The sequence below is a fragment of the Homo sapiens genome, chromosome 14 (genome assembly GCF_000001405.40).
Source record: "Homo sapiens chromosome 14, GRCh38.p14 Primary Assembly".
Taxonomy (NCBI): domain Eukaryota; kingdom Metazoa; phylum Chordata; class Mammalia; order Primates; family Hominidae; genus Homo; species Homo sapiens.
In genome coordinates, this window is record NC_000014.9 from 40,934,499 (window position 1) to 40,955,439 (window position 20,941).

The 20,941-nt window shown below is 34.7% G+C and overlaps 1 long non-coding RNA gene across 2 annotated transcripts in view, besides 2 other annotated features; it reads left to right on the forward strand.

The window, feature by feature from the left end:
• Positions 19,710-20,283: an enhancer, noted in NCBI's record as "OCT4-NANOG-H3K27ac hESC enhancer chr14:41423413-41423986 (GRCh37/hg19 assembly coordinates)". NCBI's record gives its function as "activates a minimal SCP1, AML or CMV promoter by ChIP-STARR-seq in naive H9 embryonic stem cells {active_cell/tissue: H9 hESC(naive)}" and the evidence as "EXISTENCE:reporter gene assay evidence [ECO:0000049][PMID:30033119]".
• LINC02315 (long intergenic non-protein coding RNA 2315) overlaps positions 20,213-20,941 on the forward strand; it is a 186,338-nt gene continuing 185,609 nt past the window's right edge. For both annotated transcript variants that reach the window (NR_109758.1, NR_109757.1), the window contains exon 1: positions 20,213-20,454. This is a non-coding gene — a long non-coding RNA (long intergenic non-protein coding RNA 2315). The remainder of the gene's footprint in view (positions 20,455-20,941) is intronic.
• Positions 20,284-20,856: an enhancer, noted in NCBI's record as "H3K27ac hESC enhancer chr14:41423987-41424559 (GRCh37/hg19 assembly coordinates)". NCBI's record gives its function as "activates a minimal SCP1, AML or CMV promoter by ChIP-STARR-seq in naive H9 embryonic stem cells {active_cell/tissue: H9 hESC(naive)}" and the evidence as "EXISTENCE:reporter gene assay evidence [ECO:0000049][PMID:30033119]".

The following is a 20,941-nucleotide window of genomic DNA, read 5'->3' on the forward strand; positions in this document are numbered from 1 at the left end:
TTTGTTACATAGAAAAACTTATGTCATAGGGGTGTTAGCCTAGTACCCATTAGTTATTTTTCCTGGTACTCTTCCTCCTGCCACCCTCCATCCCCCAATAGGCCTCAGTGTGTGTTGTCCCCCTCTAATGTGTCCATGTGTTCTCATCATTTAACTCCCACTTATAAATGAGAACATGCGATATTTGGTTTTCTGTTCCTGCCTTAGTTTGCTAACAATAATGGCCTCCAGCTGCATCCATTTCCTTGCAAAGGACATGATCTTGTTTTTTTTTAATAGTATTCCATGGTGTATATATAGCACATTTTCTTTATCCAATTTAGCATTGAGGGGCATTTAAGTTGATTCCATGTCTTTGCTATTGTGAATAGTGGTGCAGTGAACATACACTACATGTGCATGTGTCTTTATAATATAATGATTTATATTTCTCTGGGTATCTACCCAGTAATGAGATTGCTGGGTTGAGGGTATTTCTGTCTTAAGTCCTTGAGGAATCGCCACACTGTCTTCCACAATGGTTGAACTAATTAACATTCCCACCAACAGCGTATAAGTATTCCTTTTTCTCCACAACCTCGCCAGCATCTCTTATTTTTTAACTTGTTAAAATAACCATTCTGACTGGTGTGAGCTGGTATCTCATTATGGTTTTGATTTGCATTTCTCTAATGATCGGCGACTTGGGGCCTTTTTTCATGAGATTGTTGGCTGCATGTATGTCTCCTTTTGAGAAGTGTCTGTTCATGTCCATTGCCCACTTTTAATGGGGTTGGTTTCTTTTTGTTGTAAATTTGTTAAAGTTTCTTATAGATGCAGGATATTAGACCTTTGTTGGATGCATACTTTACAACAGAATGGGAAAAAAATTTTGCAAACTCTGCATCACACAAAAGTCTAATATCCAGCATTTATTAAAGAAATTAAATGTTTTCCAAGCTTTGATATCAATAAATATCATCTAGCAACACTTAGTAAAATACAGATCCCTAGGGAACTTTTCTCATAACCCTTATCAGAACTTTTAGACAAGGGTTCTGTATTATTTTCCCAAACAGCTGTCCCTTGATTTAGGTAAAATGCATTCACGTTAATTTAAAGTCTTCATTTTCATATTCTACAAAGCCATATATATTCTTTGACCAGATTAAATTAAAATATTGAACTTGGATTAAACATGTTAAGCCTTTCTATATAGACATTTCTTTGAGCACTCCATGAAGTCCCACTGGAACTTAGGTAAAGATAGAATCTCCTGGTTATGCTCCAAAAAATATATTTTTCCACAGCAATGATGAAACACATTTCTTAAATAAATTATTTTGCTCAACACAAATACATCGTGTATTGATGTGGGTCTCATACATAGAAACCTGCTAACAAATAATGCGAAATGCAAGATTATATTTTAAAGTAAATGGTCAGAAAAATAAAATAGAAAAATAAAACAACTTTATTTTGTCTTTTTAAATTTTGGATGATATATATATATATGAATACTGTGGAGAATTTTTGAAATGTATTACTTTTTAATTTGTTTTCAGGATGTAATTTGTAGAGGTGACTCAGCTACCACAATACAAATTTAAATGCTTGAATCCGTATTCCCTAAAGATGTTGGAGCTGAGCCACAAATTGGGTAGAAATGACAAAGGTATTTTCAACATAATAAGATAAGAATAGCGACCTGCCTTTTTTTCTTTACAAACTTCTAAAAATATGTTGAGATATAGGTATAATAAAACACATTTCGATGATTCTTGCACCTGTAAGTGCAGGTAATTTGGAAAGAGAGCTCTTTGAATTTGCAGTCAAAACAAGTCGGTTATAATTCTGCATTATTCTTCTCTAGAGTATGCTCATGGGTGACATATGTATGTATATTCACATATATACATACACACACATAAATATATATACAAATGCTTAACTCTTAGGGTGTTTCGGATCAGGTAAAATTGTATATCTGAAATTACTTTTTAAGAAAATACAGTTATTGTGTTTATTTCATACAACACAGACTTTTAATAAATAGAAACCCAGATTCCAAGAGAGTGAGACATATTTCATTGCCCCTCCTGGTTGTCAGGGAGCTGTCTGCTTTGGGTCAGTGAGGAATGGAAAAGATAATTGTTGATGCTTTTATAGTCCTTCGAATTATGAAGTGAATAAAGGCAGAAGGAGTCATAGTAGTGACCATGGATTAAATTCAATAAATAGTTTCGAAACGCATATTTCTATTAGGTACTACACTATGTTTTGTGGCAAATAGGAACACAAGTTGAATAAAACACGGATTCTACAGTTATGTTTCATAATTTTAGTAACATAGCATATTCACACCTAACCATAGTCAAGTTTAAATATAATAGTTATACAGGTATGAACAATGTGCTATATTAGTAAAATAGATACTTTGTAAATTTGGGAATTAAACACACATTTTTTATTTTGTCTTAAATGCATTTGACACACAGAGATTAGCAGTTGAAAGAAAGACATTTCAGGCAGGGACTGACAAAGCACAGATGTGTGAAACAGCATGCCAAGGTCATGGCAGTGGGCAGTTTGGTTATGTTCCACTATTCCATTAGCAGAAGATGAAGACTGATTAAAAACTCAGCTGGAAATACAGATTGAAATTACATTTCATTATCCTGAATAACTTATTCTGGATATGAAAACAGGTCACTGAAAATTTTAGAAGAATATGGTAACATAATCAAATACATGACACAAAAATAATTTGATCATCGGTGGGCAGGATAGATAGGAAAGAAGAAGAGGAAAAAGGAACTAGAGAAAATAATAATATTTGAAGATTCTCCCTATAGTTTAGGTCAGGGTTTTCTGTTTCTAAATTGTAAAAATTCAGGTGCAGGATTCATGTTTTACTCAATTGTTTTGTTCTGTTTTACTCAGACACTGTTATGAGGGATATTTTGTGTTCTGTGAAATATGATAACATATACTTGAGAAACACTGTATTCTTCTCTCAGAGATTCTACAATAGAGAATTGTGAGTAGTGTTAAAAACTCTAAGAAATTCTGAAGTAAAATGTCTGGAAGACTTTTATTATGGTACATGTATTGATGTGCTTGAGATCACCAGTTTAGAAAAACTGTCCAGTGCAAGACAATGAAAGAAACTAGGACATTAGGAGTAGGAAGAGAAAGAAGATATGACAACAGGTGATATTGTGAAAGCCAAATAGATAGGTTTTAGCTATTGATTCAAGTGGAAGATAAAGGAAAGAAGGAGTCAGAGGCAAATTGATATCCCTAGCAGAAGCCTTCCTAACAGCACCTCTTTCAGAGTTATTGGTATCTTGTCAACTTTCTTAGTTTGCTCTATAGTCCTTGAAACTTGCTCAGTCTTTGTAGAAGTAAGGGTAAGAAATATATTCTGTGTTTTCTTCCTGATGCAAAACACAGAACAGCTATTTCCTTAGACTATTTTAACAGAAAATTAGATAACTCTTAAATATAGTAAGACCAATTATGTTTACTTGCAAAATAAACTATACATTGGGTTATTATTTTTCAAGCTGCTACTAATATATAAATATATAATTAATATATATTTATATATTATATATAAATATATAATTAATAATATACTTATATATTATATATTTTATATACATTATACAATATATATTTATATAATTAATCCTAATATATAATATATATAATTTATATAAATATATATTAGTAGGAAGCTTAAAAATATATATATTAGTAGGCTGCTTGAAAAAATATATGTATAAGCACATACATATTTTGTTGTTACTACATATTTCTTACCCATGTTTATTTCCTCATTTTTCCCTTACTAATAGAAACAAGATTTTGTTCCCACATAAAATTGATGTATTTTATTCCTAGCAGCTATTGGTGTAACACATGATATGTTTCTGGCTATTAGATATTTACAGAAGTTCTTGGTGCAATATGAGTATATACATACATATATCCATATATTTTATGCATACATACATGCACGTATGCATTTATGTATATTTCTATCTACCTATCTATCTATTCATCCTATGAGAGATTGTCTAATACATTTTGCTCTTTACCTTTCTCTGTTTATCTCTTTTTCCAAACTGAGACTTGGTTGCAAGGAAGAGAATTGAAACAGCCATCTTGAGACAATGAAAAAAAATGCCACAAGCTAAGAAAGATTCAGGAGGAACACAGATATTTTTGATTCTTTGCATATTCTCCCCAGTTCTGCATGTTTAAGCCACAGAATTTTTAAATCATGTATATCTCACAAATAAATACTATATATGCTTCTAATAATATTAGTTTGAAACCTGAAATGGTAGAATAATTGTAATACCACAAATAACCTACTTATTGCTAATGAGAGACAGCATGGTGCAATAGGTCCAACACTAATTTAGGAGTCACAAGCTCTAGCATCTTATGTCAGTCCAAGTTCTAGTCTGTCACTCATGCAGCAGGTGTAAAATGGAGAGACAATCTAATAAAATAATTAAGCTAAAGGACTATATTGATTTGTTATAATTAGGCTACAAGCAGTAATAAAAGTATCAGTTTTTCAAATGTGACTGAGTGGATGTTTTATTATATATTGTTTTTAATGTGGTAATATCTTATGAATGTATATGGAAGATTTAGCAGATCTGATTAAAAAGTTCAAACCCATTGTATAAATTAATAAATCTAGACATGGGAAAAGTAACACATTTTACAAGCCTAAGCTTTCATTCGTAATTCAGGAACTTAGTAGTTAACTGAATTTTAGCTGTTAAATCTGAAAATCGACTCATATACCCGTTAGAGTTGACAGAATAAAGTTAAATAGAATTTCACTTTTTTTAAAGTTTTAGAAAACGCAATGTATGAGTTTTGTTACATCCGAATTAACTTCAAGAATATCCTTGTTTTATAACTGTGATGGTTATTTTAGGTGTCAACTTGACTGGACTAAGGGATCCCAGAGAGCTGGTAAAGTATTATTTCTGGGCATGTTTGTGAGGGCGTGTCTGGAAGAGATTGGCATTTGAATCACTGAATTGAATAAGGATGACTTGCTCTCACCCATTGTGGGTGAGCACCATCTAATTCACTGAGGGCCCAGATAAAACAAAAAGTCAGAGGGATTTACTTCTGCCCATCCCTCCCCCTCCCCTCATCTGGATCTAAGACACTCTTCTTCTTCTGCCCTTGGACCTCAGAACTCCAGGTTGTCCAGTGTTTGAACTCCAGAACTTGCATCAGTGGCTTGCCAGATGCTTAGACATTCAGCCTTAGACAGAGAGTTACACCATCAACTTGGGTTTTGAGGCCTTCACTTGGACTGAGACATGTTATTGGCTTCCTGGTTCTACAATTTGCAAACAATCTATCATAGGACTACTCAGTCTCCATAATCGTGTGAACCACATCCTCTAACAAATCTTGTCTCATATGTTTCCATCTATCTATCTATCGATCTATCTATCCATCCATCTATCCTATTGGTTTTGTTTCTCTGAAGAATCCTAATACAAAAACATTTTTTAATTTAGCCTTTTTAAGCTTTATTGAGGTAAATTGATGTATAAAATTGCACGTATTTAATACGTATTTTGATGAGCTTGGACATATGTATACACCCATGATACTAACACCATAATCAAAGTATTAAACATATCCATTACCTCCAAAAATGTTATCTTCTTGTGTGTGCGTGTGCATGTGTATTTGTGGTAAAAACACTCAAGGTGAGACCAATCCTTTTAACATATTTAAAAGTGTACAATACCATATAGTTAATTACGGGTACAAAGTTTTACAGCAAATCTTTAGAACTAGCTCAGTTTGTGTAACTGAAGCTTCTTGATTATGTCTGTTACTGCAAGTAAAAAGCAATATAAAAGCAAACATGGATAATTTATATTCTATTTTTGGTATATAATTTTTTTATTTTTAGAAGTTAATACTTCAAGTGACCACACTATAATGAAGCTCATTCAAATCATAATGAAAACACAAGGCAATTCATAAAATTATTCTGTTCTATCAAATTTGGCCTTAAAGGAAGAAACTATATTTTGTGATAAAGCATTGTGCTTCTTTAGCACTTCCTCTCCAAAGTCAAGAATTAAATTCTTTAAAAAATATCTTTAGTATAAGTTTTGCATTTAATTTATGTGCATTTTAAGAGTGTATTATAGTCTCATCAAGATTAATCATGTACAGCATATATTTGTCCATTTAAGGATTCTAATAATTGAATATTTTCTTCTTAACATGTTATAGAATTTTTATACTGAATAGAGGATCTTAGAGATTCTTCACCATACCATGAGATGCATGCAGCTTCCCCATCCCTGATACAGATTTCATGAACACATAAATACATAAGACTCCAGGGCTGACTTACTCAATTGACATTATATTATTTGTTTATCATCCTTTTGAATATCAAATCAACACAGAGAATCAGAAGTAGTCTACAGTTGATTTGCACAATAAAATATGACTTTTCAAAATTTATTCCTTCTGGTACGTACCTCTCAAACTCTAAATAGGTAGCAATATAGTATCTTGAAATAGTAATTGTTTGCTTACTTATTGGCACTTTCTGTAAATTACTCAGAGGCACTTAAATTGTAGAAGGCCAGGTGTGGTGGCTTACGCCTGTAATCCCAGCACTTTGAGAGGCTGAGGCGGGTGGATCACTTGAGGTTAGGAGTTTGAGACCAGCCTGGCCAATGTGGTGAAACCCCGCCTCTACTATAAAAAAAAATACAAAAATTAACCAGACGTGATGGCACATGCCTGTAGTTCCAGCTACTTGAGAGGCTGAGGCAGGAGAATCACTTCAGTCCAGAAAGGGAGGTTGCAGTGAGCCAAGATTGCACCACTGTACTCCAGCCTGGGTGACAGAAAAAAAAAATGTCTATAGGAGAAATATGATTATTAGAACAAAATACAGAAAGAAACATGTGTTTAATTCTCAGCTTTGTCTTGAAAAAAGCTCTAGTGGAAACAAACAAAAAATGCTCATAGTGGAAACAAACCCTATGGGTTTCAAACTGCTGATCCACAGCTTGTTTCCATGTAATCCTGTCTGATGCCCTCTGATTGCTGTGAAGACTGACTTTTGACAATGGTCTGCATGGGACCTATGGAATACTTTGCACAAGTCACTCCTGATGGTTAGATATATGTACAACCCTGATGAAAACATGGAATTTCTATCTGAATGTTTATGCACATATGCACACACACAAACACACACACAACATGCTCCTCACTATTTTTATTCTGCTTAAATGAATGTTACAGTCAGGCTCAAAGACTGTACTGTACCCAGATGTTACATCATCAACTTGGGTCTGAAGGCTTCACCCTTGGACTGAGCCATGTTATTGGCCTGCTAGGTTTATCTACAATTTGCAAGCAACCTATCATAAACCTTCTCACCCTCCATAATCTTGGGAACCAGCTCTCCTCACAATCTTCTTGTATATATCTCTATCCATTCTATTACTTTGATTATTTTTCTACAAATTAAAAACTCCTTTGATTCTTGGATTCTTCTTCTGCTAGGAAAATTCTAACGCTGATTCTTTTTCTACAAGGAGAATCCTAACTGGACATAGCTGCACGTTGTTCTATGCATTTTAAATGAACTTTGGCTATTTCTAAAATAAGGACACAAAACTAATTTTACCATCACTCTGTGTCATGACTCTATTTACATATACTTTCCTTCAAAATGTTACCTATTTTCTCATTTTACTTACCACATTTTTTCTTTGCTAGGTTTAGTTCAAAATATTTTTTAGTTTTAATCATTATTCAGCAATAAAAATAATTTGTTTATAAAATTATATAGGGATTTTAAGACATAATAAATCTTTAAAGATGGATAACTTTTCACAGTATTGAACTCAAAACTTGCAAAAACTACCTGATTCATAGCAAGTACAGCTTTGTTTTATGATTTACTTTCTCCATGCATATTGGAAGTCCTATTTACAATGAAGTAAACATTAATGTTGAGACCCATGATACACAATACCTTACTCAGATATGAACTATATCTATATGTACTTTTTATAATAATATTGTGACTATATTTTGTAATGGATGAAAATATGATATGTAGATATTTCTTATATGCACCACTGGGAGACAATTGAAAAGGAAAATTACATCATGGTAGAAATTACCTTTAAAATATGCACACACTTATTTCTTTTCCCTTAATCAACTTTCTATATTGTGTTATTTTTTATGGTCATTAATTTAAACATCATTTTTAAATTCATGTATCATAAATTATTCTAATTTTCTTGTTTATAGGCAAATAAGTTAAAATATGCGACTACAATGGAATGACAGTGAGCCAGGCCTCAAGAAATTCATTTGTCTCAATTTAACATTTCTGAAAAAAATAGCAATAATTTTAATTGCAGTATATTATAATTTAAATCATAACATCATAAAGTTAACAATTTCTTCCCCATAATGTTTTTGTTGTTTCAAAAGAACTATTATTTATCTATCTACCTATCTATAAAATATGGCTTATGATTTAATTTCATTTATATATTTTTATATATGTGAATTTAGTTTTGCTAAATTTAAAATCCAGTTTTTCCTATTTTATGTGCATGTAATTATATTTAATATAAATTAGTTATTATAGACCTTCACTTCACTTCACTTCCCTAAATATCTACTTTTATCCAAGATTCTGTCATCATTAAATAGCTAGCCTTTCCACTAGGGCTGCTAATCAAATAGATTGAAATAAAAGCATTTATTTAATAGTAATTGCAGGACACTATAGTAATAGTGGATACCAAAATGTTTACTCTGATGAGTAAGAGTAATGAGAAAACTTTTAGTGCTTTATTTATTTTTTGATGAAATGCAATATAATAATAATGTTAGCTATTTAAGTTGAGCTACCTTTTTTTCATCTTAGAATGGTAAATGACCCATTGCTTTACATAATCAGTTTACCATGTGCACTCTAACAGAATCTGTATTACCCCTGTATTCTAATAGAAAAGAATAAGCAAGTATAATGCAAAGCCAATTGGACTCAGCATCAAAATAGCTTATGGAATAATATCAAATTTGATATCTGGTAAAACTTACACAGCAATTGTTAAATCATCTTTATGCCTATTTTTATCATCCATAGTATTAATCTAAAAATGTAAAAGTGTAACAATGTGATAGATTGAAAGATCTCTAAATAATTTATATTTTATATAACTTTATGCATAAATTGACAAAAGTTAAAAGTATTTGCATTGTTTTAATGTTGGAAACAATGTTCCAAGATGCCATAAAAATAATAAAAGGACAGAAGTTTCTTGCGCATTCAAAATCATTTATTATGCATTTACAATACGCAGCTGTTGTAAACACTGTGGAATTAATAATGGATTTTGGTCTCTGCATTGAATAAGTTCACATTAGAGGGACAATTGTAAACACAGGGTATAATTCAGTTTGACAATTACTGTGATAGACATTGCTTTTGATACTAGCAAGGAAAAACCCATTGGTGGATTACCAAAAGTTTCATGAGGATATGTCTGATCTATACATCTTATAAAATTAAAATTTTAAATATATATTAATTCAAATAGTTTTGTTGCTTTTAGGGAAATAGTCTTTCAAGATATTCTAATTGAGCATATGTTTCTGGAAAAAGACCAACTTTGGCTTTAACTCATTTTTAAAAATTTTTTATTTAAAAACAACATGCTGGTTTTTAAAAATTCAATCGCCATCAGTACTTAACATACTTACTATGTCCTGATTGGTAGCTTGAACAAACTAGAATCTGAGATTTTATTCCTTAATTGTCAAAGAAGCCAATTGAGGTTACATGTCATTTGTAGTATAAAAACAAAAAAATCATTTCTTTTTATATTTTGCAATGGAAGCCAATTTCGTTTCAAAGGAAAAAATGACTTTTAGTTCTTTTTATGGAAACAGTAGCACCATTTGATGAATCCTTCATATTGACCATTATTTTCTTAAAAACAAATCTATCCACCTTTTCTACTTTTCAAATTTTTATAAATTACGTTTCTGGAGAGAGTTTTCCAATGTTAGAGACGTCAATTTCTCTGAGCTAAACCCTCCAGTTTTTTTTTTTTAATGGTCCCCAAGGAACAAGGTTAAAAGCCCTGGGTCCTCTTAACTAATCCCCTTATACATTCCTGGAATTTAAGAAGGTTACCTTTTTTGTTTGCATTCCTGAATTTACATAACACTTGAGATGATATCAACATATCATAGAATTTTGAAGATCTACTTAGAGTATGTTATCTCATCGGTATACTATTAATTATTTGTAATTAGACTACTAGTTAATCCACAATTCCCATTAATAATTCTAGTAAATATATTAATTTATTGTTCTATCAATATTTGGTACATCATAAATACATAATAAATAGAGAATAAATTAATAAAGTGTTGAATATATGATTTTCAGAGCTGATTTTTTTCAGTCATCTTCTTTGACAATTTTGAATTTATATTTGTAAATAAATATTCAGATTTTTTACATGCATTGGCATTAAATAAAATTTTGTAAAATTTATTCCATAGTGTAAAACTAAATTTTATCCTAATTTTGTCATAAATTTTTATCATTAGCACCTTTTAAAAGTACAATGATATGTCTTTATTTAGGTCATTAATCTAAAATTGTAGAATAGGTCAGAGAAAAGAGGAAACCCTTTGCACATAACTAAAATCCTTCCCAGAAGATGGCATTCATTCTTTAATTATCACTTTCTATGAAGGTCATTTGATGTGTTACTAATTTGCCTAATTGAATTGCCATCAAACTCATATTTCTTCATCTTAACACTGAAAATCTGAGGAGATGCTTCAAATTACATTTTTTGGATGATTTTTCACAGATCTATGATTTAGATGTTTAAGCAGTAGCTTTGAATGAACTAAAAATGCTGGCAAATAATTAGAGTTAACATTTTGCAAATAACATTTTGTTCACTGCAGTATTTTACTTGACCTATGCCTATTCTCCTCTACATGAAAACTGAAGTTTTAATGTTATCCTTGTAGATCTTTAGCAGATAATTAATTCACATATATCCATTAATAATATTTCAGTATGTAAAATATACTTGCTTCTCTCAAGTAACTTGATATCATTTAATCTTCAATGAAACTTGTCTAAAAATAATGTTTTTTTGAATCAGTTTTTTGAATCAGTTTAAAAATGTGAAAAAACCTTTGAATATGTTATTTGTTAAGAATGAAATAACTGAAAGGTTGATCTATGCTTTAAATTGGAATCTTTTGTATATTTTAACATCAAGAACAGTCCATTGTATAAAAACTATTTTTGTGAATTTCTAAACTTTCATAGCATTAAGTCCTCAGAGTGGAATTCTATGATTTCTAAAGCCAGATTATTTCAGATATTTTAAAAACTACTTAAATGTCCATAAACAATAGGACAGTTAACTACATTTTGTAAAGTTAATGAAAAGGAATATTATATAGCTAGTTTTAAACATGACATATTTACACCTATTTTGGTTCAGTGATTCCACTGATAGATGTATGGCTAAATAATCTGATAGAAGGATAGGCAGACAGAGACACACAGACAAATAAACAGGAAAATGTACAATAGACAAAGAGAGACAGATTAGATGATAGAAAGGTAGACTTAGACACATACACGTACAACTGACAAGTGTGTGTTTATATATATAGCACTCTGTCTTTACACAGATGTGAAGGCATAAACAGGCAAAGATAGACAGAAAAAGTAAACTAACAGAAGGATAGACCGACATATGGACAGACAGACAGAGATATACAGATAACATAGCTGCAGAGAATCAGCCAGAGAGAGAAATAGAAGGACAACAGGCAAACAGAATGGCATATATATGTTTAGATTGATAAACACAGGAATAAAGCTAGATAATAGATAGATAGATAGATAGATAGATAGATAGATAGAATTAATGTGTATTACCTTAGCACCTTGGGACAGAAATTTTCTTAAGAAGGCACTATTATTTTTCAGGGATAAATTGATTAATATTGAGGGTAGAAGGTGAAAAATCTCAAAATATGTTTCTCTTGGAGGCATGGCAAAAGAATGAAAGTGGTAGTAGCTATGTTGTTCACATTGAGAAAGGGAAAAAATTTTTACTTGAAAAATCATGACTAAAATGAGAACTCTAAGCTTGGCATGAGATGGGCAGGTATGTTGATTTATATCACTGAATATAGGTTGTGCTGATTAAGGTATTTAGGAAAAGTCTAGCGTTTATGTTGACGTTATTTTGCATTTCAGTGGTTAAAATTCCTCCTGTACCAGTCAAATCTACAGTAAAATAAACCAAACTCACACATCCTCTGTTATTTTTAGTTAATTTTGTTAATTAGTATTATATTTAGTCAGGTCTTGGTGTTCTTTTTTTATTATTTTTTGTAGCAAGATTATATTTACAAATCTGGATTAATATAGAATGAATAAAAATGGTTTTTCATTTAAAGTGTGATAATCCATAAACCAAATTTATTATTGTATACGAAAGTTCCCTATTTAGAGGTAAATATGAAAATCTTAGGGAAGAATTTGGATTTCACCTGAGCGAAAATACACAGGTAATCTTCTTTAAACTCTGATGAAATATCTTCAGCTCTTCTGGGGTTAATCTACTTTCAATAGATTGTTGATTCAGTGAGTTTTTTTCTACTAAGGATCAAATGTTGCCAGGCACTGAATGGACACTGGATGCATTAAAGACAAATAAATAAATAAATAAAGTCTTTTTGTTGCTGTTATTGTTGGCGCTTCCAACTGTTTTTGTTTATATATATATGTGTGTGTGTGTGTGTGTGTGTATATATGTGTGTGTGTGTGTGTGTGTGTGTATATATATATATGTTCTAGGGTTCATGTGCACAACGTTCAGGTTTGTTACATATGTATACATGTGACATGTTGGTGTGCTGCACCCATTGACTCGTCATTTACATTAGGTATTTCTCCTAATGCTATCCCTCCCCCCTCCCCCCACCCCACAACAGGCCCCGGTGTGTGATGTTCCCCTGCCTGTGTCCAGGTGTTCTCATTGTTCAATTCCAACCTATGAGTGAGAACATGCGGTGTTTGGTTTTTTGTCCTTGTGATAGTTTGCTGAGAATGATGGTTTCCAGCTTCATCCACGTCCCTACAAAGAACAGACCTGCAGCTGAGGGTCCTGACCATTAAAAGGAAAACTAACAAATAAATAAAGTCTTTGGGTAATTGAACTTATATTTTTGCCTCATTGTTTTTGATGAGGTATTGGATGTCATATAAGTAATGTACCATTTCTATTTGGCTGCTTTCAAGGTATTTTTATTTTTATTTTTGTTTTTGTTTTTTAGGGGCTTATTTTTCAGAGTTTTAATTATGATGTGTCCTGTTTGTTATATATTAGGTGTGTTCTGCTTCTTGATTCTGAAGGCTATTCTCATTTGACAAATTTGACATGTTTTCATCTATTATTTCTTTAAGGACTATTTTGATCTTGCTTCACTGTTCATTGGGATTCCAATGATATTAATGTTAATTCATTTGTTACTGTCCCATTGGTTCAAGGGCCTTTGTTTATTTTTTATTTCCTCCTTGCTGTTCAGAATAGGTAAGTTTTTTTGTTCAGGACTTGAGTTCACTTAATTTATCTTCTATCATTCTCACTCCACTACTGAGTTTATCAAGTGAGTTTTGTTATTATTATCATATATTTCAGCTCTGTAATTTTCAGGTGAATTTTTTTAAACTTCCAATTCACTGTTAAGATTTTTCATTTCTTAATTTGTTTACAAAGCATTTGTAATTGCTTGTTAGATCATTTTCATAATAGCAGCTTTATTTTTGTATTTTTAAATTTTTCTTCTTTTTTTCCAACTTTTATTTTTTACTCAAGGGATACATGTGTAGGTTTGTTACATGGGTAAATTGCATATCATGTGGCTTTGGTATACAGATAAAACTGACACCTAGATAATCATCGTAATACCTGATATGTAGTTTTTCAATCCTCACTCTCGTCTCATTCTCCACTCTCAGTTAGGCCCCAATGTCTTATTCCCTTCTTTGTGTCCATATGTCCTCAATATTTAGCTCTCACCTGTGAGAACGTGCAGTATTTGATTTTCTGTTCATGCTTCAGTTTGTTTAGGATTATGGCCTCTAGCTCCATCCATGTTGCTACAAAGGCCATGATCAACTTTATTTTTAAATAGCTGTGTAGTATTCCATGGTGTAGGTACCACATTTTTTTATCCAGCCCACCATTCATGGACATTAAGGTTGATTCCATGTCATTGCTATTGTGAATAGTGCTGCAATAAACATATGCATTTCTCTTTTTATTATTATTATTATACTTTAAGTTTTAGGGTACATGTGCACATTGTGCAGGTTAGTTACATATGTATACATGTGCCATGCTGGTGCGCTGCACCCACTAACTCATCATCTAGCATTAGGTATATCTCCCAGTGCTATCCCTCCACCCTCCCCCCACCCCACAACAGTCCCCAGAGTGTGATATTCCCCTTCTTGTATCCATGTGATCTCATTGTTTAATTCCCACCTATGAGTGAGAATATGCAGTGTTTGGTTTTTTGTTCTTGCGATAGTTTACTGAGAATGATGATTTCCAATTTCATCCATGTCCCTACGAAAGACATGAACTCATCATTTTTTATGGCTGCATAGTATTCTATGGTGTATATGTGCCACATTTTCCTAATCCAGTCTATCATTGTTGGACATTTGGGTTGGTTCCAAGTCTTTGCTATTGCGAATAATGCCGCAATAAACATACGTGTGCATGTGTCTTTATAGCAGCATGATTTATAGTCCTTTGGGTATATACCCAGAAATGGGATGGCTGGGTCAAATGGTATTTCCAGTTCTAGATCCTTGAGGAATCGCCACACTGACTTCCACAATGGTTGAACTTGTTTACAGTCCCACCAACAGTGTAAAAGTGTTCCTATTTCTCCACATCCTCTCCAGCACCTGTTGTTTCCTGACTTTTTAATGATTGCCATTCTAACTGGTGTGAGATGGTATCTCATTGTGGTTTTGATTTGCATTTCTCTGATGGCCAGTGATGATGAGCATTTTTTCATGTATTTTTTGGCTGCATAAAATGTCTTCTTTTGAGAAGTGTCTGTTCATGTCCTTTGCCCACTTTTTGATGGGGTTGTTTTTTTCTTGTAAATTTGTTGGAGTTCATTGTAGACTCTGGATATTAGCCCTTTGTCAGATGAGTAGGTTGCGAAAATTTTCTCCCATTTTGTAGGTTGCCTGTTCACTCTGATGGTAGTTTCTTTTGCTGTGCAGAAGCTCTTTAGTTTAATTAGATCCCATTTGTCAATTTTGTCTTTTGTTGCCATTGCTTTTGGTGTTTTAGACATGAAGTCCTTGCCCACGCCTATGTCCTGAATGGTAATGCCTAGGTTTTCTTTTAGGGTTTTTATGGTTTTAGGTCTAACATTTAACTCTTTAATCCATCTTGAATTGATTTTTGTATAAGGTGTAAGGAAGGGATCCAGTTTCAGCTTTCTACATATGGCTAGCCAGTTTTCCAAGCACCATTTATTAAATAGGGAATCCTTTCCCCATTGCTTGTTTTTGTCAGGTTTGTCAAAGATCAGATAGTTGTAGATATGCAGCGTTATTTCTGAGGGCTCTGTTCTGTTCCATCGATCTATATCTCTGTTTTGGTACCAGTACCATGCTGTTTTGGTTACTGTAGCCTTGTAGTATAGTTTGAAGTCAGGTAGTGTGATGCGTCCAGCTTTGTTCTTTTGGCTTAGGATTGACTTGGCGATGTGGGCTCTTTTTTGGCTCCATATGAACTTTAAAGTAGTTTTTTCCAATTCTGTGAAGAAAGGCATTGGTAGCTTGATGGGGATGGCATTGAATCTGTAAATTACCTTGGGCAGTATGGCCATTTTCACGATATTGATTCTTCCTACCCATGAGCATGGAATGTTCTTCCATTTCTTTGTATCCTCTTTTATTTCCTTGAGCAGTGGTTTGTAGTTCTCCTTGAAGAGGTCCTTCACATCCCTTGTAAGTTGGATTCCTAGGTATTTTATTCTCTTTGAAACAATTGTGAATGGGAGTTCACTCATGATTTGGCTCTCTGTTTGTCTGTTGTTGGTGTATAAGAATGCTTGTGATTTTTGCACATTGATTTTGTATCCTGAGACTTTGCTGAAGTTGCTTATCAGCTTAAGGAGATTTTGGGCTGAGACAATGGGGTTTTCTAGATATACAGTCATGTCGTCTGCAAACAGGGACAATTTGATTTCCTCTTTTCCTAATTGAATACCCTTTATTTCCTTCTCCTGCCTAATTGCCCTGGCCAGAGCTTCCAACACTATGTTGAATAGGAGTGGTGAGAGAGGGCATCCCTGTCTTGTGCCAGTTTTCAAGGGGAATGCTTCCATTTGCCCATTCAATATGATATTGGCTGTGGGTTTGTCACAGATAGCTCTTATTATTTTGAAATACGTCCCATAAATACCTAATTTATTGAGAGTTTTTAGCATGAAGGGTTGTTGAATTTTGTCAAAGGCTTTTTCTGCATCTATTGAGATAATCATGTGGTTTTTGTCTTTGGCTCTGTTTATATGCTGGATTACATTTATTGATTTGTGTATATTGAACCAGCCTTGCATCCCAGGGATGAAGCCCACTTGATCATGGTGGATAAGCTTTTTGATGTGCTGCTGGATTCGGTTTGACAGTATTTTATTGAGGATTTTTGCATCAATGTTCATCAAGGATATTGGTCTAAAATTCTCTTTTTTTGTTGTGTCTCTGCCTGGCTTTGGTGTCAGAATGATGCTGGCCTCGTAAAATGAGTTAGGGAGGATTCCCTCTTTTTCTATTGATTGGAATAGTTTCAGAAGGAATGGTACCAGTTCCTCTTTGTACCTCTGGTAGAATTCGGCTGTGAATCCATCTGGTCCTGGACTCTTTTTGGTTGGTAAGCTACTGATTATTGCCACAATTTCAGATCCTGTTATTGGTCTATTCAGAGATTCAACTTCTTCCTGCTTTACTCTTGGGAGAGTGTATGTGTCGAGGAATCTATCCATTTCTTCTAGATTTTCTAGTTTATTTGCGTAGAGGTGTTTGTAGTATTCTCTGATGGTAGCTTGTATTTCTGTGGAATCGGTGGTGATATCCCCTTCATAATTTTTTATTGCGTCTATTTGATTCTTCTCTCTTTTTTTCTTTATTAGTCTTGCTAGCGGTCTATCAGTTTTGTTGATCCTTTCAAAAAACCAGCTCCTGGATTCATTAATTTTTTGAAGGGTTTTTTGTGTCTCTATTTCCTTGAGTTCTGCTCTGATTTTAGTTATTTCTTGCCTTCTGCTAGCTTTTGAATGTGTTTGCTCTTGCTTTTCTAGTTCTTTTAATTGTGATGTTAGGGTGTCAATTTTGGATCTTTCCTGCTTTCTCCTGTGGGCATTTAGTGCTATAAATTTCCCTCTACACACTGCTTTGAATGCGTCCCAGAGATTCTGGTATGTTGTGTCTTTGTTCTCGTTGGTTTCAAAGAACATCTTTATTTCTGCCTTCATTTCGTTATGTACCCAGTAGTCATTCAGGAGCAGGTTGTTCAGTTTCCATGTAGTTGAGTGGTTTTGAGTGAGATTCTTAATCCTGAGTTCTAGTTTGATTGCACTGTGGTCTGAGAGATAGTTTGTTATAATTTCTGTTCTTTTACATTTGCTGAGGAGAGCTTTACTTCCAAGTTTGTGGTCAGTTTTGGAATATGTGTGGTGTGGTGCTGAAAAAAATGTATATTCTGTTGATTTGGGGTGGAGAGTTCTGTAGATGTCTATTAGGTCCACTTGGTGCAGAGCTGAGTTCAATTCCTGGGTATCCTTGTTGACTTTCTGTCTCGTTGATCTGTCTAATGTTGACAGTGGGGTGTTAAAGTCTCCCATTATTAATGTGTGGGAGTCTAAGTCTCTTTGTAGGTCACTCAGGACTTGCTTTATGAATCTTGGTGCTCCTGTATTGGGTGCATATATATTTAGTATAGTTAGCTCTTCTTGTTGAATTGATCCCTTTACCATTATGTAATGGCCTTCTTTGTCTCTTTTGATCTTTGTTGGTTTAAAGTCTGTTTTATCAGAGACTAGGATTGCAACCCCTGCCTTTTTTTGTTTTCCATTTGCTTGGTAGATCTTCCTCCATCCTTTTATTTTGAGCCTATGTGTGTCTCTGCATGTGAGATGGGTTTCCTGAATACAGCACACTGATGGGTCTTGACTCTTTATCCAATTTGCCAGTTTGTGTCTTTTAATTGGAGCATTTAGTCCATTTACATTTAAAGTTAATATTGTTATGTGTGAATTTGATCCTGTCATTATGATGTTAGCTGGTTATTTTGCTCGTTAGTTGATGCAGTTTCTTCCTAGTCTTGATGGTCTTTACATTTTGGCATGATTTTGCAGGGGCTGGTACCGGTTTTTCCTTTCCATATTTAGCACTTCCTTCAGGAGCTCTTTTAGGGCAGGCCTGGTGTGACAAAATCTCTCAGCATTTGCTTGTCTGTAAAGTATTTTATTTCTCCTTCGCTTATGAAGCTTAGTTTGGCTGGATATGAAATTCTGGGTTGAAAATTCTTTTCTTTAAGAATGTTGAATGTTGGCCCCCGCTCTCTTCTGGCTTGTAGGTTTCTGCTGAGAGATCCGCTGTTAGTCTGATGGGCTTCCCTTTGAGGGTAACCCGACCTTTCTCTCTGGCTGCCTTTAACATTTTTTCCTTCATTTCAACTTTGGTGAATCTGACAATTATGTGTCTTGGAGTTGCTCTTCTCGAGGAGTATCTTTGTGGCGTTCTCTGTATTTCCTGAATCTGAACGTTGGCCTGCCTTGCTAGATTGGGGAAGTTCTCCTGGATAATATCCTACAGAGCGTTTTCCAACTTGGTTCCATTCTCCCCATCACTTTCAGGTACACCAATCAGACGTAGATTTGGTCTTTTCACATAGTCCCATATTTCTTGGAGGCTTTGCTCATTTCTTTTTATTCTTTTTTCTCTAAACTTCCCTTCTCCCTTCATTTCATTCATTTCATCTTCCATCGCTGATACCCTTTCTTCCAGTTGATCGCATCGGCTCCTGAGGCTTCTGCATTCTTCACGTAGTTCTCGAGCCTTGGTTTTCAGCTCCATCAGCTCCTTTAAGCACTTCTCTATATTGGCTATTCTTGTTATACATTCTTCTAATTTTTTTTCAAAGTTTTCAACTTATTTGCCTTTGGTTTGAATGTCCTCCCATAGCTCAGAGTAATTTGATCGTCTGAAGCCTTCTTCTCTCAGCTCGTCAAAGTCATTCTCCATCCAGCTTTGTTCTGTTGCTGGTGAGGAACTGCGTTCCTTTGGAGGAGGAGAGGCGCTCTGTTTTTTAGAGTTTCCAGTTTTTCTGTTCTGTTTTTTCCCCATCTTTGTGGTTTTATCTACTTTTGGTCTTTGATGATGGTGATGTACAGATGGGTTTTTGGTGTGGATGTCCTTTCTGTTTGTTAGTTTTCCTTCTAACAGACAGGACCCTCAGCTGCAGGTCTGTTGGAATACCCTGCCGTGTGAGGTGTCAGTGTGCCCCTGCTGGGGGGTGCCTCCCAGTTAGGCTGCTCGGGGGTCAGGGGTCAGGGACCCACTTGAGGAGGTAGTCTGCCCGTTCTCAGATCTCCAGCTGCGTGCTGGGAGAACCACTGCTCTCTTCAAAGCTGTCAGACAGGGACATTTAAGTCTGCAGAGGTTACTGCTGTCTTTTTGTTTGTCTGTGCCCTGCCCCCAGAGGTGGAGCCTACAGAGGCAGGCAGGCCTCCTTGAGCTGTGGTGGGCTCCACCCAGTCCGAGCTTCCTGGCTGCTTTGTTTACCTAATCAAGCCTGGGCAATGGCAGGCGCCCCTCCCCCAGCCTCGCTGCCGCCTTGCAGTTTGATCTCAGACTGCTGTGCTAGCAATCAGCGAGACTCCGTGGGCGTAGGACCCTCCGAGCCAGGTGCCGGATATAATCTCGTGGTGCGCCGTTTTTTTAAGCCCGCCGGAAAAGCGCAGTATTCGGGTGGGAGTGACCCGATTTTCCAGGTGCCGTCCGTCACCCCTTTCTTTGACTCGGAAAGGGAACTCCCTGACCCCTTGCGCTTTCTGAGTGAGGCAGTGCCTCGCCCTGCTTCGGCTCGCACACGGTGCGCGCACCCACTGACCTGCGCCCACTGTCTGGCACTCCCTAGTGAGATGAACCCGGTACCTCAGATGGAAATGCAGAAATCACCCGTCTTCTGCGTCGCTCACGGTGGGAGCTGTAGACTGGAGCTGTTCCTATTCGGCCATCTTGGCTCCTCCGCATTTGTTTTTATGGTGGTAAGATTCATATTCCCTTGGTTATACACCCAGTAATGGGATTGCTGGGTCTAATGGTAGTTCTATTTTAAGTTCTTTGAGAAATCTCCAGACTGCTTTCCACAATGCCTGAACTAACTTGCAATCCCACCAGCAGTGTATAAGCATTCCCTTTTCTCTGTAAACTCACAAGCAAACCACCAAAAAATAACCTCTGTTATTTTTTGACTTTTTATTAATAGCCATTCTGACTGGAATGAGATTGTTTCTCATTGTGATTTTGATTTGCATTCCCTAATGATTAGTGATAGAGTATTTTTTCAAATGCTTGTTGGACTCCTGTATGTCTTCTTCCAAGAAGGGTCTGTTCAGTTCCTTGGCCATTTGCCATTTTAACGGGGTTGTTTGTGTTTTGTTTGTTGACTTACGTGAGTTCCTTACAGATTCTTGATATTAAGACTTTGTCAGATGGATAAGCCAACAAAGAAACATTTGCAAATGTTTTCTC